The sequence below is a fragment of the Homo sapiens genome, chromosome 4 (assembly GCF_000001405.40).
Source record: "Homo sapiens chromosome 4, GRCh38.p14 Primary Assembly".
NCBI lineage: Eukaryota > Metazoa > Chordata > Mammalia > Primates > Hominidae > Homo > Homo sapiens.
This window is the reverse complement of record NC_000004.12, coordinates 47,953,817-47,977,562: the sequence shown is the minus strand read 5'-3', so window position 1 is coordinate 47,977,562 and position 23,746 is coordinate 47,953,817. Positions and strand designations below refer to the sequence as shown.

The window sequence follows — 23,746 nt, the reverse complement described above, 5'->3', positions numbered from 1 at the left end:
ACTGATGATAAGCTCTCTATATTATGTGAGTGTTGAGGAGAAACCATGAGCACTCAGACATCCTAATTCCAGCTGTATTAGTCTGCTATGGCTGCCATATCAGAATACCGCAGGCTGGTGGTCAATAGAAATTTATTTCTCATGCTTCTGGAGGCTGAAGTCCAAGATCAAGGTGCCATCAGTTTTGGTTTCTTCTGAGGCCTCCCTCCTTAGCTTGCAGATGGTCATCTTTTCGCTCTGTCCTCCCATAGTCATTCCTTTGTGCATATCATCCTTCCTGTCTCTTTGTATGTCCACGTTTCCTCTTCTTATAAGGACACCAGTCAGATTGGGTTGGGTCCAGCCTAATGGCCTCACTTTGACTTAATCATCTCTTTAAAGGCCTTGTCTCCAAAAACCGTCACATTCTGGGGTTAGAGCTTCAATATATGGATTTTGGGGGCACACAATTCAGCCTGTAACACCAGCCATTAGAAATATTTACTCTTTTCTTCATTCTTTACCTTTTACACATGCTGTTTCCTCTGCCAAGAAAGCTCATTTCCTCTACTGTCGCAAACTCCTATTCATCTTTCAAGATCCAATTACATATCCCCTGCTTTGGGAAGCTCTGTGATTCTCCCACCTCTAACAGAGTTGGCCTATGCACACGTGATATTGTCATATGAGATTTTTATCACTTACAGGTTTCTCTTACTAATTTCTCTAGGGCTGGAAGCCTGTCTTAATCAACATTCTATTTTCTTTTCTTTCTCACTTCCATACCTCAGCAACCTACACGATGCTGCTGTCAAAGGGAGCGCTCAACAAATGTTGAGAAGCAAAAATATTAATGAAATACAGATTGGATTACATGCTATCTGTAAATTGTTTGCAAGTGAAAATATCAAAACTTTAAATGTACCCTTTTCAGAGATAAGGTATAAACTTGCGAGAGAAGTAGGAAAAAAAGGTTATACAAAATGCTGAATGCTCACAGTGACTGACAAAATCTCCGTGGAATTACAGTCCAGGGAACCTCCCTTGCTGGGTTCTAAGTATCTGCCTTTTTATATGGTTACTTATCTTTATTGTTACTATCAAGAAATTTGCACTTGTCTTCTCTCAGGGGATATAAAGAGAAACGAAGTAAGTTTCTTGACCTTAAGAAGCTTACAGAATACTGGGAAAGTAAGACATTCACCTGTACCCATAATAAACACATATACATATATATATATATGTGTATATATATATATACATATATATGTATATATATATGTATGTGTATATATATATATACATATATATGTATATATATATGTATGTGTATATATATATACATATATATGTATATATATATGTATGTGTATATATATATATACATATATATGTATATATATATGTATGTGTATATATATATATATATATATACATATGAAAGTAAATGCTTAGGGAGAAAGGAGTGATTTAAGATATAGGAAATGCATGCAATGGATGGTGCCATCACAATTGATTTCATGGACTTTTTTTTAAGACTTTCCAAAACACCTGTCATCAGCATGAATTTCTAGAGAAATTTCATTGTGAAACAGATATTGGGGTGAGGAACCCTAAGATAAAAGTCAGGAACTACTTCAGTTCATCAATATTTAATAATTTTTATAATTAAATATTCAGAATTGTGAATACTTTCTGAGTCAATGAAGGTAGAGAAGTGGGAAGGATAACACATTAAGGTCTCCAACCATTGTGCAAAGTCTTTGTTCTTACTCTTGATTGTATAGCATATTGGTTTTAAAGTAAACTTTCTTTGATGATGAAGGATCTTGTGATGCCCCAGGATCATAATTAATATATATGACTTTATAGTTCTAATAACTTTTTAATGCTTATTTAACAAATATTTATTGACAAATATTCCCAGTTCTAGATACTGGGATTATAACAGGGCACAAAAACAGAATTCTTGCTCTTAATTATGCTTACATGCTCTGGTGTTTAAAACACTCTTATATCACTTTGTGTTCTTATAAAATATTTTGTTTAAAGAAAGGAGTATTGGAAAATATATTGGGTTATTTGTTTGTTTTAGTTAATTGACTTTTGATTAATTGAGCTTTTTATTGTATTGTAGATACTACTTTAACATTTTCTGTGAATTGTGAAGATGATGATAATGATTATGATAACAATGATCTCTTTGGTAAAATTGTTTCTTCCTGAGCAAGTACTGGATTTTCTTTATACGTTGATAACAATTTGACTTACCAAGTGTGGCAGGTCCCTGTGTGTGCTGGGGCAACATAGCAACAGTGTTTTGTCAGCTCTGTTTTAGTTTTTCATGAGAATTACAGCTGGCTTATGAGCCTATAAGGATAATTATTATTTTCTTTAATAGTTGCTTTGACAATTTTAAAGTCTCAAAGTGATATTTCAGGGGAAGAGATTAAAGAAAGATTAATCATTTTAAGTTTCTTTGTCTCTTTAACAAGTTGATGGTTCTCTCTTTCTGAACTTAGAGATCATATAAGAATATTATCAACTAGTATTTGTATAACTTTTCACAAACAGCATTCAATATTGCCTTATACATATTTTTCATTACCTCCCCATCGAGACTTATTACAATAGGCAGAGCAGGTATTATTATCTCCACTTTACAGAAGAGAGGACCCTGTAACTCAGAAAGATTTTTTTGTCAGGGTTTCACAGGTAATTTGCTAAAGAGCTAGGGCTAGAAACTAAGCCCTTGTGGAAGAAGCGATTGCTATTTTCAGGCACTGGCTGTTTCTCTTTTGCAGAGCAGGCACAACCCATTCTAGAAGTTACACAACTTGCTGAGCGTTGTTAAATGTTAAAAAAAAAAAAAAACTTAGTTCTGCAATTAAATACTGAGATGGAACGAGTGAGATGAAAAACAGTATTATGGAAAATGTTTATTTTAAATTTATTTTTACCATGCTATATAACAGATCTCCAGACCTTAGTCCTCCTAACTGAAACATTGTATCCTTTGACCAACATGCACCCTGCCCAATAATGGAAAACATTATTTTAAAGCAAAGGTGCTGACACAAATGTCCAGACCTTATTCCTCCTAACTGAAACATTGTATCCTTTGACCAACATGCACCCTGCCCAATAATGGAAAACATTATTTTAAGGCAAAGGTGCTGACACAAATGATTTTTGATATTAAACAGACTCTTGTTTTAAAAATATGACTTTTTTCATTTAGAAATATATTAGGAGAAAATATAGATAAAAACAAAGAAGAAAACAAAAATACCAATGATCCCACCACTAAAAATTTAATGTTTAACATTAAAGTGCTTATTAGTTCTATGTACACACACACAGTTTTAAAATAAAATGTATGATACTATAAATATTACTTCACAATTTGCTTTTTCTTTTTTAAATTTTATTTTTAAAGTTTTATCTAGCTATCTATCATCTATCTATCTATCTATCTATCTATCTATCTATCTATCTATCTATCTATCTATCTAGAGACCAGGTTATGAGACTGACTAATTTTTGTATTTTTTGTATTGATGGGGTTTCGCCATGTTGCCCAGGCTGATCTCGAACTCTTGGGCTCAAAAGATCCGCCCGCCTCAACCACCCAAAGTGCTGGGATTACAGGTGTGAGCCACCACACCCGGCCACAATTTGCTTTTTCTACTTAGCAATATATCATGAACATTTCTTCAAGTTGTTCAGAAGAATATGAGAAAAAATATTGAAATATATCATTTTATTATAAAATTAATGTGTTCATTCTGTAAAACTGATATAAAACAGAAGTATATAATACTACTGTCCAGAGGTAGCTATGTAATTTAGTGCCTACTCTTCTGCACTTTTTTTTTTTACACATCCCGAAGTTAACTGGTTGGTGGATTAGAATACCTTCTTCACAAAAAGTTTGAACTAATGAAGAAGAGAGCATCATTTATTTTACAAAGGTATATATTTTACTTTAAATTTCAATATAGCAAATAATATGTAAATAACAAATGCATCATTTGTAATAATCTTTAGGGGCATTCACACAGAATACTACTCTGGAAACCACTAGCATACAGGAAGCCTTCTACGTGTTGAATAATCTTTGGCTGTCTTCAAGTAATACCTCAGTGGTGTGTGAGTGCTCTGAGCTGCATACTATATAACTATCCTTGTTTAAAGATGGTGCTTTAGACCGGACGCGGTGGTTCACGCCTGTAATCCCAGCACTTTGGGAGGCTGAGGCGGGCGGATCACCTGAGGTCAGGAGTTCAAACCAGCCTGGCCAAAATGGTGAACCATCCCCACACCCCATCTCTACAAAAATATAAAAATTAGCTGGCCATGATGGTGGGTGCCTTTAATCCCAGGTACTTGGGAGGCTGAGGTGGGAGAATTGCTTGAACCGGGGAGGTGGAGGTTGCAGTGAGCTGAGATAGTGCTACTGCACTCCAGCCTGGGCGGCAGAGCAAGACTCCCTCTCAAAAAAAAAAAAAAAAAAAGATGGTGCTTTAAAGTCTGTGTACTATATCAGCCTTTCAGACTGGATTTCTCAATTCAGTTTGTAATTTTATCCAAAAGTAGTTTACTGCTTGGGTGATGTAATACAACCTATATGTGAGCCATAAATTGGTAAACAAATATTTGTTGTGAAATGGCTTACAGGATTTACAGGTTAGTAAAGTACACAAATGACTTTAGTAGATGGCAGGATTTTATGCTTCAGAAAGGTAAAATTAAATTGTAGTTAATAGTCAGAGGACCATAGTCAGAGGTACATAGTTACTTGTGGGACAATAATAATGCTTGACACCTAGTAGGCATTTCTTAAATATGTGTTAAATGTTGAATGAATTAAAGAACCCAACTCAAAAAAGCAGACCAAGAATATAAACATGTAATTCACAGAGAATAAATCCAAATGATTAATAAACACATGAGAGTTTGTCTAACTTCACTAGTAAATGTGAATCAAAAACTGTAGGGTAAAAAATGCTCACCCATCGGATTGAGGAAAACTTTTAAATCTGACAATATTAAATGTTGGTCAGGGTATGGGAAAAAATGATCTACTTCCATAGGTCTAGCAGAATGCAAAATGGAACAGCAACTTTGGGCAGCAATCTGGCTGGCTCTAGTGAACTGAAACTAGAACTAGCAGTTCCACTTCTGGAAACATACATGAGAACCACTCTTGCACATGTGACTAAGGAGACTTAGTCTCCTAAGACTAGGGACTTTTATTGCAGCATTGTTAGTAAGAGCAAAGAAATGGAAACAACCAATCCTTCATTAGTAGGAAAGAAATAAAAATAGAAAAGGGGAACAAAATATTATGTATTTATAGGCTGGAATATTAATAAACAATATTGTAAAATGAAACAGCTGTATGTATATTAGCATAGATAATTTCCAAAATGGTTTCAAGTGAAAAAAGCACAAGTTGCAGAATTATGCATAGAGGAAGATACTGCTTTGCAAACTTAAAATACATGTGCAAAACTATACATTGGTTATGGAAGCTTACATAGGTACGTAAAAGGATGAAGAATTACCCTGAAGGATATACCCCAAACTCACAGTAGTGACTGCTCCTAGGGAAATAGGGAAGGGACTGGGAGATTACAGTGGTTTTTGTTGTTGTTGTTGTTGTTTGTTTGTTTGTTTGTTTGTTTTTCAGAGAGTCTTGCTCTGTTGCCCAGGCTGGAGTGCAATGGCATGATCTCAGCTCACTGCAACCTCCACCTCCCAGGTTCAAGTGATTCTCCTGTCTCAGCCTCCCCAGTAGCTGGGACTACAGGCGCATGCCACCATGCCCGGCTAATTTTTGTACTTTTAGTAGAGACGGGATTTCACCATGTTGGCCAGGCTGATCTGAAACTCCTTACCTCAAATGATCCGCCCACCTTGGCCTCCCAAAGTTTGCTGGGATTGCAAGCGTGAGCCACCGTGCCTGGCCACGGTTTTTTAAAAGAACTTTAAATATAAAGTTTTATTTTTTTCACATGCCATAAAAGGACTGAGAGCCAATTTGACAGAAGTCAACAGTTGTTAATTCCTGGTGGCAGAAATATGAATGATATAATTCATATTTTATAGTTCATATAAAATGAATATATGAATATTTCATAATTCATATATAATGATATGCTGTTTTGCATTTTGAAATGGGGGGTCAGTATATATATTCACTAAGTAATTAATTTACATGATACAACATTCAAAATGTATAAAATATATACAGTGAAAGATATTTTCCCTTCCACTCCAATTGCCCAGTCCCATACTTCCCCTTCCTCAGAGGCAATCACTGTTACCACTTTCTTGTTGCATTTTTCCAGAGAGATTCTCACCACTCCTTTACGCACAGCACACACACACACACACACACACACACACAAATATAGATATTTACATATATATGTATATTTCCTACAAATGGTAGCATACTGTATTTTTTTTTTTTAGATGGAGTCTCGCTCTTCGCCCAGGCTGGAGTGCAGTGGCGCGATCTCGGCTCACTGCAGTCTTCACCTCCCAGATTCAAGCGATTTCCAGCTAATTTTTGTATTTTTAGTAGAGATGGGATTTCACCATGTTGGCCAAGCTGGACTTGAACTCCTGATCTCAAGTGATCTGCCCACCTCAGCCTCCCAAAGTGCTGGTATTACAGGTGTGAGCCACCACACTTGGCCTCATACTGTATTTTTGAAGGATTTCCAATACCTTTTTTTTCCTTCCAAAAAGAGGTCCCATAGATGAAATACTATATAGTATATAAAATATAAAAATAACAAGGTACCAGAGGTAGGAAGAAAGGCAGAGGGAGGGAGGAAGGGAGATTGAGACTGTGGCAGAAGAAAGGGCAATAATTCAGTAGACAACGGTGAAATCTTGTTTTCTTTCTTTTTTTTTTTTAATGGAGTTTTGCTCTTGTTGCCCAGGCTGGAATGCAATGGCACAATCTCTGCCCACCACAACCTCCACTTCCCTGGTTCAAGTGGTTCTCCTGCCTCAGCCTCCCGAGTAGCTGGGATTACAGGCATGCGCCACCATGCCCAACTAATTTTTTATTTTTTTAGTAGAGATGGGGTTTCACCATGTTGGTCAGGCTGGCCTCGAAATCCCGACCTCAGGTGATCCACCTGCCTCAGTCTCCCAAAGTGCTGGGATTACAGGTGTGAGCAGTAATCCTAGCAGGAGATAATTTTGTCAGTTGTGGAGTTGGGGGAGGTGGTGGTGAGATCAGGGTATTGAGTACCCTAGCTATGCTGTTCCCGTGGGCTTGCCTTGTGCTGGCTGTGTTCTTCAACGTTAAGTCACTGTTCCTCATAGTTATTCTGCATAACTCCCCCTCTATCCAGGGCCACACTAAATTCCTCTTCTTGTCCTTGGATCCCAGTGGTATTAACAGTTTGGCTACTTCTAACCCGAGGTTGCTGCAACCATCCTTTGTGGTTTCCCTATACTAACATCTTTGTAAATAGTCTCTTTGGAAATAACCTCTTCCAGAATTATTTTGAGTGTGCCTTTCTTTTTGGTTGGGACCCTGACTGAGAACCTCCTTCAAAAGTATTACTTATCTATTACATATCCTTTTTGTCTTATTCACTGTAGTATTAATTTCTTGAAGGCATATATCATATATTTTGTTAATATCTGTATTCATAACATTGAGTACACTTCCTGTGGCTAGTAGGTATTGATAAATATTTTTGTCTCAAGAAGCAAGAATGGAAGGAATGATGGAAGATGGTAGGATTATAGTCGCCAAGCAGTTTTTTTAAAATCTTAGTTTTGGCGGGGCGTGGTGGCTTATTCCTGTAATCTCAACACTTTGGGAGGCCAAAGCGGGGAGATCACCCGAGGTCAGGAGTTCAAGACCAGCCTGGCCAACACGGTGAAACCCTGTCTCTACTAAAAATACAAAACTTAGCTGGGCCTGGTGGTGCACACCTGTAATCCCAGCTACTAGGGAGGCTGAGGCAGGAGAATTGCTTGAACCCGGGAGGTGGAGGTTGCAGTGAGCCGAGATTGTGCCACTGAACTCCAGCCTGGGCGACAGAGCAAGACTCCATCTAAAAAAAACAAAAAAACGAAAAAACAAAAAACAAACAAAAAACTGAGTTTGGTTTCCTAAAATTTTCTCATTTCTCCCAGTCTCCGAATCAGTTTCCGAAACACAGTTCTCTGTGTTTCTGCTCTATGGAAATCACTTTACTAGGAGTGGGGTTCTGGCTAGTGATTCGGGCATGGCTCATGCCTCCAGAAATTTGTCTCGGTGAAGGGACCAGTGTGGCTAAAGTTTCTTAAAGCAGGAGGTGTCTCCTGGGGGTGGGAGATGGAAGTGGGATCTGACACTAATGGAGAAGGTGTGGAAAAGCTTCTGTGGCTATAGGAAGAGGATTAATGAGCAGTATTAAGAGCCAAGTTGAAACTCCATAGCAGGAATTTATAGTGCATCTAATCCACTTTACCTTACACAAAACTACTATATTAGTCTTCCTAAAGTAAACATGGGATGATGTCATTCTCTTGCCTTAAAATCTTCAATGACTCTTCACTTCATGTAGAAAGAAGAATGAACCTCTATTTTGATGCAGTACTCTTACTTTCACAGACCTGTTTCTTACTTTTTCTCTCTGTGTAGAAATTAAACCAGTTTAATTTCTATTCTCCAGATGGGCTTCCACAGGAATTCCATAGGAATATCTCCTGCCTCTATATCTTTACTCATGAATTTCCATTTGCCTAGAATAGGAAGCCTTTCTCCTGCCCCATTTCCACCTGATAAATCCTACTTACCCAGGCCCCTTATTTTCTGTTTGCTCTTGAATTTATTGTTTCAGGAGGTGTCTCCCATGATGATTTCTCTTCCAACAGAGAGACTCTCCCTTTCTAGTCCCAGATCCTGTGGGCCATTCCTAACTTTAAGCAGCCTCTTGCATTTATGTCTCCTGCTCTTGGGGCAGTAGGAGTGTCCTATTATTGTTAATCTCTGGGTTTCCTCACTGTCCTCTGTTTGACATTACTAACACTTTTGTAGCTAATGCTCTGTATTAAATTCCCTCTATTGAACCACCTGATGTTAGCCGTTTTTCTGATTGGCTGATTTCTGATTCACTGTGTTAGATTCACTGTGTTAGCACACCTGATTGAAAGACTGTGCTTCAATATCTTTGTACAACTCCATCTTCTTCATGGACCTCTTTTCATTATACAGCTGAAAAAGATTAAAAAAAACTCCCCTAGAATATTAAAAAATATCTGTTATTTCAACAATCATATTTTTCTTATGACATTGTACAAATATCTACTAATTTCTAAACAAAATATCTCAGAAATTGGGGAAAGGATGATGGACAATTACAAATAATTATCTAAGATCCCCTTGTAGATGCCAAATACTTGTTCATTTTAGTACTCTTGGCTTGTTCCCCTATAGTCCTCTACTACACTACTAGTTGGGGGGCATACTCATCTTTGGATTTGTTCCTTATCCAACTGGCAGAGAACTCTGTGCATTGTACATGTGTGCTATTTATTAAGTTGGGCACAGACTTATTGCTTGGCATGTGTATTTTTTTTTTTGAGACGAAGTCTTGCTCTGTCACCCAGGCTGGAGTGCAGTGGCGTGATCTAGGCTCACTGCAACCTCCACCTCCCCGGTTCAAGTGATTTTCCTGCCTCAGCCTCCCAAGTAGCTGGGACCACAGGCACCCACCACCACACCCAGCTAATTTTTTGTATTTTTAGTAAAGACGGGGTTTCACTGTGTTAGCTGGGATGGTCTCAATCTCCTGACCTTGTGATCCGCCCACCTCGGCCTCCCAAAGTGCTGGGATTACAGGTGTGAGCCACTGCACCCAGCGGTATTTTAAATTTTCATTTTATATTCTAGTTGTTCTTTGCTATTACATATAAGTAAAATTCATTTTTACATTGACTTTACAGTCCTGTGACCTTGCTAAATTCACTTATTTGTTCTAATCATTTTTTTCTAGATGCTGAAGAATTTATTTTATGGTTGACTACATACACTATTATGTCATCTACAAACAAATAGTTTTACTTCTTTTCCAATTCAGATGCTTTGTATTCTTTTTCCTGCCTTATTGCAAGCGCTAGAACCTCCAGTGCAATGTTGACTACTTCTAGAATATCCTTGTCTTATTCTTGACCTTAGGAGGAAAATGTTCAGTCTTTCATTATTAAGTATAATGTCAACTGTAGTTTCTTTTTTTTTGTTTTGTTTTTTTGTTTTTTGAGACAGAATCTGGTTCTGTCGCCCAGGCAGGAGTGCAGTGGCAAGATCTTGGCTCATTGCAAACTCTGTCTCCTGGGTTCAAGTGATTCTCCTGCCTCAGCTTTCCAAGTAGCTGGGATTACAGGTGCTCGCCACCATGCCTGGCTAATTTTTGTATTTTTAGTAGACACAGGGCTTCGCCATGTTGGCCAGGTTGGTCTCCAACTCCTGACCTCAAGTGATCCACCCGCCTCAGCCTCCCAAAGTGCTGGGATTACAGGTGTGAGCCACTACACCTGGCCAATGTTAACTGTAGATTATTTGATACTTGCTGTTTATCGGGTTGAGGAAGTTCCCTTCTATTCCTGGTTTGCTAAGAGTTCTAGTTATAAATGGGTGTTGAATTTTGGAAAATGCATTTTCTACATTTCTGCATTTCTACATTTGTTGAAATCAACATTTGGTTTCTCTCCTTATTTTTTGTCATTATTATTGTGAATCTTATTGATTACTTTTCAAATTTATACCTACATTTCTCATTTTAAGTTACAAATATACTTATAATAGTTGCTTGTAAGTTTTGTTTGCAAGAACTGATCCTAAAGGTTTCAGATTTGTAGATCTGAAATATCAAGCAGTTAACAGCAACCTTGAAGCCTTTCCTAACCATTATTTTCTGTCTCCCACTTGTGGCATTCAGAAAAGGCCAAAGGCACTAAAGGCAAATAATGCAGAGTAATGTTTCACAAGGTGTGATTCAGGAATCCTTTGCAACAGAATTACTTATAGCGCTTGGTAAAACTGTAGATTTATGTGCCTTACCCATACCTTATTCAGATTCTGCAAATAGGGCCCTGTAATATGCATTTTAAACAAGCTTCACAAGTATATGCATGCTAAATTTAAAGAACCACTAATACATAGTTAATTATGTGTGGGTTTGTGTGTGTAAGTGGGTATACAGCATATCTTCTCTGCCCTTTTATATAAAGAAGGCATTATTATTCTGTTCACAAATGTGTAAACTGAGGTTCCATGAGGTTAAAAAAATCTCACTTGAGTTCATTCAGCTAATAAGTGGCAGAGCCAGGTTTTGAACCCAAGCTAGAGCATGACTTCAATCAGTAGAATATACTGTTCCATGTATTCACAGTTCATGTTCCATATTTGTTTTGCCTGAATTACCCATAAGATTTTCTCAACCATTGCTTTGGTATATTTTTGTGTACTTTGTTATATCCTCGCTTAAGTGAGGAATTTTTGTGAGTCAGCTAAATATGAGAGCTGAATCTTGCTTTCCAAAGCAATTGTTTCTCTTTGATTCACAAATTTCAATTCAAAGACTCATGCATGGGAAAACCAGTAAAGCAACGAAGTCCCTAAAAGAATATTTTTTTTTCTGTTCTTTTCAGATGTTTTGCCTATGATCCTATGATACCTCAAGAGTTGAAAAGTGTATGAAAAGAATAAGCAATTACTATTAAAATTTTTTTCTCAAACTACAGAGTAATTTTACCTTTAAAAACAGATGGAAAAATTCAAAATAAAATACTAGCAGCTGGGACCCAGTAGCATATAAAAAGAATAACTTATCAGGGCCAGGCATGGTGGCTCACACCTGTAATCCCAGTAGTTTGGAAGGCTGAGGTGGGTGGATCACCTGAGGTCAGGAGTTTGAGACCAGCCTGGCCAACATGGTGAAACCTCATCTCTACTAAAAATACAAAAATTAGCCGGGCCTGGTGGTGGGCACCTGTAATCCCAGCTACTCGGGAGGCTGAGGCAGGAGAATCACTTGAACCAAGATGGTGGAGGTTGCAGTGAGCTGAGAACACACCACCGTACTCCAGTCTGGGTGACAGAGTGAGACTCTGTCTCAAAAAAAAAAAAAAAGAATAACTTATCATAACCAAGAAGTGTTTATCATAGAAGTGTTAAAATTATTTATATAGTTCACCATATTAATATTCACAGGAAAATATGATTATTTCTATGAGAGCAAAGGAGACTTTAATAAAACTCAACATTAATTCCCATTTCTAATATTTTAAAAATTGGCAACATAGGAAACTTCCTAACATGAATAAAACATCTACCTCAAACTAATGGTCAACACCATGCTTAAGAATGAAAATCAAGAGGCATTTTCATAAAGCCAAGGACCATACTGGATATCCGTTAAGATAGTTATAACAGAATATCAACATTATTATGTATTATCTTCTGGAAGTTTTAGTCAAGGCAATTAGACATTAAAACTAAATGCTTCTTAAAAAGAGGAAATAATTTTGTGTAAGTAATATAATTGTATTGAAAAAACAGAAATTAATTAATACAAAAACTATTAGAAAAAAATGTTGTAAAGGCCAGTAATGTGGTCAGTTTCAAAATAAATAAGAATAAATAATTTCCTGACGTAGCAAAAGTAAAGAGTTAATATACATCAAGGGAAAACCAAGCTAATGACAAAAGGAACACAAATATAAAACATGTAGGAATTAATAAAAATTTAGAATCTATACATTGAAACATTTTTGAAAATGTAAAGGAAAATAATTTCCTAATTTATTCTATGATTTTAATGCAAATTCCATCAAAATCTCTATAGTTGGAAAGGCAGTTTTAGAATAACATTTCAGATCAGTAGGGAAAAGATGGTCTATTGATTATTGATTAAATGCTAATTAGAATATCGACTATCCACTCAGAAAATATAAAGCTAAATCTCTACTGTATACCTTGCACCAAAATTAATTTGAGGTAGATTAAAAAGAAAACCATAAAACAAGTGGGGAAAATATTTATAAATAATTATAAATTTCAAATGTCTTTTTCTGTTTATAATTTCTATTTTTAAAAGTGATTATGTATGTTTAAAAGTGATTAATAAAAAAAAATTCCAAGTAGAACACTTAGGCCAACAAGAAATTATAGGACAAGAGAAGGACTCATTTTTCTTTAGGGTTAAGCAAAGCCCAGGCTCGGTTTGTTCTGACAATCAGAATTATATTTTCTGTTCTTATTTAATATTTTACTCATATAATTTTTTCTGTGTATTATGATGAATGAAATAATCACATATTCTCCCTTCCCTAGTCATAAGGCATGAGGTCTCCAAAGAGAGTGTTCATTGATGACAACAGGGAGTTGGCATGTGGGGAAATATACCAGAATAGTCATGTCTTCATTCTGATGCTGAAAAGGAGTCAGCGAAGAATTTCTCATCTTAGAAAGCAGTTGTTTCTCAGTAAAAATTACTTTAATTATATTTTAAAATATATGTACACGTTCATTCACAAACATTACAAAAATTCTTTATTTACTATTTATTGGCTACTGCCTGCTAGTTATTTTCATTAATTGTTTGGGTACTGGAGTAAGATAGAAAGCATTATTTATTGTTGTCTTCACTTGAATATTTAACATTTTATAAAATTTAAGTCATTATTGATTTTACTTTCAATAATGAGGTATATTTTATACATTTTTCTATATCAAATGATTTTTCTTTCATTTTAATTTACTTAAGAGTCCTATGAATTGGCAAGAAAAGTTCTAAGAACAGATGGGGACAGTCCTGCCTTGGACTCTTTCAGGGCAGAGTATAAATGGGTGGACATGATTGACAGTTCATTGTAACTCAAAAGTATATGCTACCGTGAGGATTATGTTTATTAAACTGATAGAATAAATTGTCATTTATTGGGCTCTTACTATGTGCCAGGCATAATGCTAAGCACTTAACTCATTTTATCCTCACCACAGTTTGTGAAGCAAATGTTATTCAGGAAAATAAGATGAATTTCCTAAAGAACAAAGTTGTCCAACAATGGAACAGGCTACTCATAAGGCAGGAAGTTCCCACAACCAGAAGTGTTCCAAAAGAGACCAGGTGATCATTTATCAGGAATATGATAGCGGCATTCCTGTTTGAATGGAAGGTTGGCTCAAGTGACATTTGAAATTATAACTGCTTCTAGGTTTCTATGATTCTGCTTTGCAAAGGCCATCACACCTTGTAATATAAACCAAATAATACCAGCAAACTCACTCAATTTAAAATCCAGTTATTGGCTTGGCGTGATGGCCCACGCCTGTAATTCCAACACTTTGGGAGGCTAAGGTGGGAGGATCATTTGACGTCTGGAGTTCAAGACCAGCCTGAGCAATAAAGTGAGATCCCATTTCTACAAAAAAATTAGCCAAATGTGGTGGTACGTGCCTGTATTCCCACCTACCCAGAAGGTTGAGGCGGGAGGACTGCTTGAGCCCAGGAGTTTGAGGCTGTAGTGAGCCATGATCACACCACCGCATTCCAGCCTGGGTGACAGGGTAAGACCCTGTGTCAAAAAAAAAAAAATTCAGCTATTATGTTTTAAACATATCAATTCTTTCTGTCAGTCAAGACACTAAATTAGTGTTGTTTGCTTAAACAGATAATATACGTAGTCTTTGGTTTATTTTTTCTCTTTGAGGTTCAGTGGTCCTCAAATTTAAAAGTGGATTATTGAAATGGTATACTAGAATTATGACAACTTTAATATTAAAATTTAAATATGTTTTGGATTTCTCATCTGTAGTGCAAAAATTTGGGGGAAATTAGAAATCAGTGTAACGAGAAGTTAAAAGCATAGAGTTTTGGCATCATATGTACTCTGGTTCACATAACTACTATATTGAGTATATATTCTGGCTATATGTTCTTGGCAAATTAAGTACATTTTCTGAGTTCCAGATTCCTTATCTGTAAGAACCTGAGGAAATACTTACTTCACAGTTTGTAGTGAGAATTACCTGAATAGAGTGCTTTATGTCTGGCATATAGTAAGAACCCAGTAAATTGTCAAGTAAATTATTACATTAAAGAATGGCATCACTAAAAACGTATACTTTTTTTTTTCATTTTCAACAATATATTTATTCAACCTGGTACTTCCAACATATTATTCCAACATGTAATCAATTTTTTTTTTTTTTTTGAGACAGAGTCTCGCTCTGTTGCCAGGCTGGAGTGCAAGTGGCATGATCTTGGCTCACTGCAACCTCCGACTCCCTGGTTCAAGCGATTCTCCTGTCTCAGCCTCCCGAGTAGCTGGGATTACAGGCACACACCACCACACCCAGCTAATTTTTGTATTTTTAGTAGAGACAGGGTTTCACTATGTTGGCCAGGATGGTCTCAATCTCCTGACCTCGTGATCCACCCGCCTTGGCCTCCCAAAGTTCTGGGATTACAGGCACGAGCCACCGCGCCCGGCCATAATTAATATTTTAAAAATCTGTAATCAGATATCTTGCATTCTTTTTTTACTCAGACACTTCCAGCACATTTCAATTCACATGTTAAATTTCCAGGTAAATGCTCAATCTATATATTTAGATTTATAAAATTCACAATTGAAATTGAAGGTTCGCATAGTCAAGTTGTTCCAAACACACTTAAAAGTCTCCTAATAACTTTATTATCACTTCAAATAGTTAAAATTAAATAAAGTTTAAAATCCAGTCTTCAGTCTCACTAGCCACATTTCCAGTGCTCAGTAGCTACAACAGCTGGTGGCCACCACATTGGACAGTATTTTTATTTTTATTTTTGAAACACAATCTTGCTCTGTCACCCAGGCTGGAGTGCACTGTAAACTTCACTCCGCCCCAGGCTCAAGCGATCCTGTCACCTCAGCCTCCTGAATAGCTGAGACCACAGGCATGCACTACCATGCCTGACTAATTTTTGTATTTTTAGTAGAGATGGGGATCTCACTATGTTGCCCAGGCTGGTCTGGAACTCTTGACCTCAAGTGATCTGCCCTCCTTGGCCTCCCAAAGTGCTGAGATTACTGGCATGAGCCATGGCACTTGGCCTGGACAGCATATTTAGTGTCTGATCATTGGTTCTCAGCTCTGACTACTTGGCAGAATCCAGAATCCACAGAAGAGGGTTTTAAAAGCACAGTTCCACAGCCCCCAACCCCAACCTTACTCAATGGGAGGCTGGAAGGGACTCTGGTTCCAAGAGGCAGCCTGTGTTTCTTGATGGAAGGATGTGACAGGGCTGTATCTTTAATGTTTCACCTTGAATGCTGAAGACAGCTTCAAGGAGGAGATAACTCAATGTATCTTAGTCCATTTTCTGTTGCTTAAAAGAAATACCTGAAACTGGGCAATTTACAAAGAAAAGGAATTTCTTTTTTTCCATTCTGGAGTCTGAGAAGTCCAAGGTCAAGGCACTTCTTAATATTTTTGATGCAAATATTTTTGTATTTAAGAATTGAGGTTAAAATTTTCATACTGTAAGTAAAATGCAAATATATTAAAGGTACAATTTGATGATTTTTGATCTATGTATACACTCATGTAACCACCTTCCCCAATTTTCATTCCAGAAAGTTCCCTTTTGTCCTTTTCAGTAAATTTCACCCCCCTTAGACAACTACTATTTTTACTTCTATCACCAATGTTTTGCCTGTCCTTAAATTTTATATAAATATAGTCATGCAGCATATACTCTTATATCTGGCTTCTTTCATGTTTTTGGGATTCATCCATGTTGTTGGAAGTATCAGGAGTTCATTTCTATTTATTGCTGAAAAGTATTTCATTTTTTTTTAAACCAGATTGTTTATCCATTCCTCTATTGATGAAAATATGGGTTGCTTCCTGTTTGGGACTTCTATAAATATAGCTAATGAAAACATTCTTGTACAAGTGTTTTTATATACATATTATTTCATTTCATCATATGTGTTTTGATAAGCAAAAGATTGGAATTCTAATGATATCCAATGCATCAAAAATTTATTTTAGATTTAGTGTCTTTTTTGTGCCCTCTCTAAGAAGTGTTGCCTATCCCAAGGTCATGAGGATATTTTCCTATGTTTTCATCTAGAAGCTTTATAATTTTAGCTTCTATGTTTAGGTCAGTGATCCATCTTAAATTGAGTAAATACATATACTGAAATTAGTGAGAAACAGAGTAGTTGTGTGTTTGTAGGTAACTGCCAGACAGTTTGCCAAAGAGGTTGTACAATCTTTTGTCCCACCAGTGACATGCGTGACATTTGGGGTGTTGGTCTTTTAAATTTTAGCCATTGTACTAGGTGTGAAAAAGTATCTTGTGGTTTTAATTTGCATTTATTTGTTGACTGATGAGTTAAGCACATTTTCATGTGCTTATTAGTTATTTTTATATCTTCTTTTAGGAAGGATTTGTTGATGATTTTTGTTTATATTTTTATTGGGTTGTTTTTATGGTTGATTTGCATAAAATTTCATAAATTTTATGTATATAAGTCTTGTCAGATAAATGTACTGTGAATATGATTATCTGTGGCTTGCCTTTACATCTTCTTATATGTCTTTTGATAAGCAAAAGTTTATAATTTTTGATGATATCCAATGCATCGCGAATTTCTTTTAGAGCTGGACGTGGTGGCTCACAACTGTAATCCCAGCACTTTGGGAGGCCAAGGCGGGCAGGTCGCTTGAGGTCAGGAGTTTGAGAGCAACCTGGCCAACATGGTGAAACCCCGACTCTACTAAAAATACAAAAAAATTAGCCAGGCATGGTGGCAGGTGCCTGTAATCCCAGCTACTCTGGTGACTGAGGCAAGATAATTGAACTAAGGAAGCGGAGGTTGCAGTTAGCCGAGATGGCGCCACTGCACTCCAGCCTGGGTGACAGAGTGAGACTGTCTAAAAAAATTTTTTTTCTTTTAGATTGAGTGTCTTTTTTGTGCCCTTTCTAAGAAACTTTGCCTACCCCAAAGTTATGAGACTATTTTCCTATGTTTTATTCTAGAAGCTTTATAATTTTAGCTTTTGTGTTTAGGTCTGTGATCCATATTGAATTAATTTTTGTGGTGGTGTGAGGCAGGGGTGGAGTTTTCTTTTTTTCTCCATGTACTTTTAAAATGATAATTTACTTTATTTGCACACTCAGGCCACAAGGTTTTCAAGTTTCCAAAGTGAACATGGAATTAGTGGGACTAATTAAATCTGATATATTTTTGGTGGTCCAAAGGCTCTTAGATGAGTGTGTACCATTGGTTGTTGTTATTGATTTCTCATTTCTTTTGAGTTTCTATAATATTCCCTTTGCCTCTAATTAAACATGATAGTTTTTGCGAGGCTGTTGGGCACCAGCACCCACATTTGCCACCAACTCTCTCCCCAGTGACTTATACCTGTCTTTCTCTATAGTTTCCTGACCTTTCTCAAAATCTCCATGCTTCATGTCTTTGTTGATTGATCACATAAAATCTTCTTCGCAAACATTTTCTTCTTTATGTTGTTAATTTCTCTATAAACAATCAAAGTAATTCTGTTATGGCAAGTGATTTTATTTCTGTAATAAAAATAAATTTATTTGTAGCTTTAACTTTATTACTTATGTTTCTGCATTACTTAAATGAAAAATGAAATAATTATAATGAATTATGTTTAAGGTACTCAGTTAAAACTTAGTGCAGAATTGATTCCACTTTAATGCTAAAAAGCTTTAGTAAATATCAGGTATTACGTTCAAGAGCTCCTGTATGAACTTTTCCGAAGAGCTCACAATCTAGCAGGGGAGGTGGATGTATCAGTACCCATGTAGTAGCCAGTGTGTAGAGAGGTAGACGCACAGAACTATGGGAATAAAAAGGAGGGTGTGCTGGATTCTGTGCCCAAGTAATCATCTACGTCTATTTTTTTTTTTTTTGAGGCGGAGTCTTGCTTTGTTGCCCAGGTTGGTGCGCAATGGTGCGATCTCGGCTCACTGTAACCTCCACCTTCTGGGTTCCAATGATTCTCCTGCCTCAGTCTCCCAAGTAGCTGGGATTAGTCACCCGCCATCATGCCCTGCTAATTTTTGTATTTTTGTAGAGATGGAGTTTCACCATGTTGGCCAGGCTGCTCTTGAACTCTTGACTTCAGGTGATCAGCCTGCCTCGGCCTCCCAAAGTGCTGGGATTACAGGCGTGAGCCACCACGCCTGGCCTCATTGATGTCTTTACACAGGGAATATATGAACTGATTTTTGAAGGCCAAATAGGATTTTTCCTGGGAGAACAAAAAGAGTCAAGAATTCCATGCAAAATGAACAGCATGAGCAAAGTTATTGTTAAACAGAGGTGTATATAAAAATTACAAACATGGCCAGGCACGGTGGCTCACATCCCAACACTTTGGGAGGCTGAGGTGGGTGGATCACGAGGTCAGGAGATCAAGACCATCCTGGCTAACACGGTGAAATATCATCTCTACTAAAAATACAAAAAATTAGCTGGGTGTGGTGGCACGCACCTGTAGTCCCAGCTACTCGGGAGGTTGAGGCAGGAGAATCACTTGAACCCGGGAGGTGGAGGTTGCAGTGAGCTGAGATCCCGCCACTGCACTCCATCCTGGGCGACAGAGCAAGACTCCATCTCAAAAAAAAAAAAAAAAAAAATTACAAACACATCTATCTGATACATTATCAAATGCTTACAACATAGGAGAATGGCCAAAGCTAATCAAGGTTTCTGAATTTTTGAAACCTTAATACTGTTTGTATCTGGTCAGTTCAGTTCTATATCTGGTGGGAGATCTTTTAAATAGCATAAAGATGTTTCTTATCATTGCTAAACTCACCTTTCTTCAAATTTCCTCTAGTGCTTGTGAACTTGAGGCATAAATATCAGTGATTTTCTTATTTCCATTTTTAATTTTAATTTTATTTTTAGAGATGAGGTCACTCTCTGTCACCCAGGCTAGAGTGCAGTGGCACAATCACAGCTCACTGCAGCCTCAACCTCCAAAGCTCAAGTGATCCACCTGCCTCAGCCTGCCAAGTAGCTGGGACTACAGGTGCACATCACCACTCTGGGCTAACATTTTATTCTTATTTTTATTTTGTAGAGATGGAGATCTTGCTATGTTGCCCAGTCTTGAACTCCTGGCCTTAAGCAATCCTACCACCTCAGCCTCCCAAAGTGCTTGGATTACAGGTTTGAGCCACCATGCTCAGTGTGTGATTTTTGCTCACTTCAGTAAAAGATCCATGAATATATTTAAGGAGACAATATTCTCATCATCTTGAAAGGTTAGACTAATGTAAAAATTTGCAGGCTGGTGGCAGTGGCTCACACCTGTAATCTCAGCACTTTGGGAGACTGAGGTGGGTGGATCACCTAAGGTCAGGAGTTCGAGACCAGCCTGGCCAACATGGTGAAACCTTGTCTCTACTAAAAATACAAAAAAATTAGCCAGGCATGGTGGCATGCACCTGTAATCCCAGCTACTTGGGAGACCAAGGCAGGAGAATCACTTGAACCCGGGAGGCAGAGGTTGCAGTGAACCAAGATTGTGCTACTGCACTCCAGCCTGGGTGACAGAGCAAGACTCGGTCTAAAAATAAATAAAAAAATAAAAAAATAAAAATTTGCAGTAAATTCTGGAATTTATTATAATGTAGATATTTAAATGCCAGCAAAAAAGGCAGTTTGACCATTAATGTTTCTCCTAAATTTTCTTCAAACAACAACAATAGCAACAAAAAGTCTGGGAATGTGCTCTGCTTTTCTCCTCTCTATCACCTCTCCCACACTCCTTCCTTCCCTTTTCCTTCCTCTTCTTTCACATTTCCCGTTCTGTCCTTTCCTTCCCCTTCCTTTCCCTCATTTTGGCAACCATTTCCAATGTTCTACAGCACTTCATGTATCTAAAATCAGGAAAAGAATTTGTTCATTTGCAGAAACCGAATTGTACACTGGCCTTTTTCAATAGAAAGAGCTTTAATTCTTGGAAATAGATGCAAAGAGTCATTAGAAGGGCTGGGGCTCTAGGCTGAACCATAGGCATAACCCCAGAACAATATGCCAGAATTAGCCAGCAGGGAAGTTTCTTCCTCTCTTGTAACCTGAAAGTGGGCAGTGAGGAAGCTCCCACTGGAACTGTTTATTCAAGAACGCACTTCCTTAGATGGGAGCCACTTCCACTGCACCTGGCACAACAGTCACCCTACTCCTGCTAGATGCATTCCAGCATAAACTGGATGCCCTTCCTTTGGCACCAGGAAAGCTAGTAACCAGACGGGGATAGCCGCCTCAGAATATCCAACGTGTCCCTGCCCATTCTTGCTGGCAGCCATAGCAGAAATGGAAGATCCATTGTCTTCACCTCACTTCTACCTTCCAAATCTCATACAAATGCATTTAATTGACTAAACCTAAGTGCCGCAAATGCCATCCAGAATCTGAGCTGCAAAGCAGACTCAGTAATGTAGATTTTTAGCTCTTTCAGTTTTTGCAGATCATGAAAGCACACTAGAAGGAGAGAAGAATGGGTTATGTGGGCCAATTCACCATATCTGTCGCCCTAAGAACCATTTCAAAGTCGTTGTAAATTTAGTGAGTTTTCATAACTTCTAATGAAATGTCTCATGAGTATAGCTTTTTAAAACACAAAACTATATTTGTTCATGCCATAAGCATTTCTTGAGTACCTATCATGTGCAAGCACTGCTGTGGTTACAAAAGTCTCCCTTCCAGAGGAGGTTGTAGCCTTGTGAAGATGGTGTGTGTCACAATTTAGCAAGTGGAAAACAATTGAAATATGTACAAAATGCAGTGGCAGAGAAGAGAAGGAAGCAATTACCTAGGTCAAGGGCGAGGAGTCAGTGGCCTGGACTTGAGCAATGGATAACACCTATTTGGACTCAAGAGAAGTGGACTTTTGAAGCCCAAGGAGAGCATATGCAAAGGCACAGAGGTGTGAAACAGCATGGCTCAGGCAGGGAACTGCAGCTGGAACACCACTTTGTACCTTAGTAATAATCTGTTCTCATAGCATAGACCAATCATTAAAAAAATTGTTATATGGGCCAGGCGCGGTGGCTCACGCCTGTAATCCCAGCACTTTGAGAGGCTGAAGGGGGCGGATCACCTGAGGTCAGGAGTTGGAGACCAGCCTGACCAACATGGCGAAACCCTGTCTCTAGTAAAAATACAAAAATTAGCCAGGCGTGGTGGTGGGCGCCTGTAATCCCAGCTACTTGGGAGGCTGAGACAGGAGAACAGCTCAAAACCAGGAGGCAGAGGTTGCAGTGAGCTGATATCGCACCACTGCACTCCAGCCTAGGTGATAGAGTGAGACTCTGTCTCAAAAAAAAAAAAAAAAAAAAAAAAAAAGAAAAGAAAAAAGAGACAGAGAAAAAGAAATTTTATTGGATTCCAAGAATTCATATCCTAATTGAGTCACTGAGGCATGTACACAAAACTGTTAAGTAACAAAATTAGGAAAAAGTGATACTAAAATATTTAACAACTATTACAGTCGTGAGCACTTAACTATCAGAAAAGGATAGTTATAAAGGATGGTTATAAACAACTGGTCTAGCTATATCGGTGAGTACCTTTACATAGCAGCCCTGTTTGAATATAGCCTAAAGGTCCCTGGGCCCATGGAGTCTTTGGATCCAAATAAATTTGCATAGTCATCAACGGCACAGAATTTCAGCTCCACCTACACCCAGAGGGCCTTCAGCTTTACCCCCCCTTCAAAAAGGCTCGTAAGGTTTTCCAGGGAATCCCTGAAGGGGTGCCTCACATGTGCACGTTTTGAACAGAAGTATGTTCTTTAAGTGGCTGGCTCTTTTAAGGGCAGGTATCAAACTCCACGCCTAGGTGATCAAGGCCAGTAGGGAATTAGGAGGAGGAACATTCACCACTCTGCAGTCAGAACCATTCTGGCACCGAGTATTGGAAGCCATGGAAGATGCAGGCGATGTCATCTTTCATGTGGTTATAAAATGGGAAGGTTTTCTGATTCCCCTTGCAGGACGTGCGGCAGGGGTGTGGCTCACCTGTTTGGTCCCCTCCCCCGCCGCTGCTCAAACCCCTGAGGGAAGGGGGAGCACGCAGACGGAAAGGTGCCAGAGCCCAAGTGGGCATGTGTTATAGTGAGCTCCTTTAGCCTTGCTGTCCGGGGACAGCTGAGTGTTAACCTCCCCACCTCCATTCTTTTCCAGAGTACTGGACAAATCAGGTCATATGAACTGTTTGAAAGGTAATGAATGCTGAGACTTTGTTGAACAGTGGAGGTGACTTTCAGCGGGATGGGGAGCTGGAATTCCGGGAAGGTGGAGGGGTGTGGGGATAATCTTCCCCTGGAGTTCCGCCGTTCTGGACGCAACTCCTCTTGATGTTCAGACGCCTCTTCCCTCCTTCTCTGCCGTGCTGCTCTGCTGCTCTCCACCACTCTCTGCCGCTCTCTGCTATTCTCTGCCACTCTGTTCCTCTCGACATTCAGCCGCTTGTGTGTGTGCCCGCTAAGGTCTCAGGTTTATATGGGCACAGGATGGGGGGGACGTGACAGCTAGAGTGGTCTCAGAAAATGCAACATTGAGGCGAAAACAGGAGTGCCTGTTTTCACTTAGGTCCGAGGGCATAAGGTCCGAGGGCATAAGGCCCGAGTGTGGAGCCCTCGCCGGGGACCCCACTCTTCTCTACCCAGCACTTCCCTGTCCCCCTTCCCGTTATCAGTTAC

The 23,746-nt window shown here is 38.3% G+C and overlaps 1 protein-coding gene and 1 long non-coding RNA gene across 6 annotated transcripts in view; one reads left to right on the top strand and one right to left on the bottom strand.

The window, feature by feature from the left end:
- LOC101927157 (uncharacterized) overlaps positions 1-23,746 on the bottom strand; it is a 76,511-nt gene that overhangs the window by 13,175 nt on the left and 39,590 nt on the right. The window contains exon 2 of the long non-coding RNA NR_125879.1: positions 18,424-18,539. This is a non-coding gene — a long non-coding RNA (uncharacterized LOC101927157). The remainder of the gene's footprint in view (positions 1-18,423; positions 18,540-23,746) is intronic.
- The window catches only part of CNGA1 (cyclic nucleotide gated channel subunit alpha 1), an 80,705-nt gene that overhangs the window by 39,119 nt on the left and 17,840 nt on the right, over positions 1-23,746 (top strand). Inside the window, exon 2 of one of the 5 annotated variants that reach the window (NM_001142564.2) lies at positions 6,463-6,667. The exons of the other annotated variants lie outside the window; for them this stretch is intronic. The gene's annotated coding sequence lies outside the window, so the exon portion shown is untranslated. The remainder of the gene's footprint in view (positions 1-6,462; positions 6,668-23,746) is intronic. 5 annotated transcript variants of the gene reach the window in all.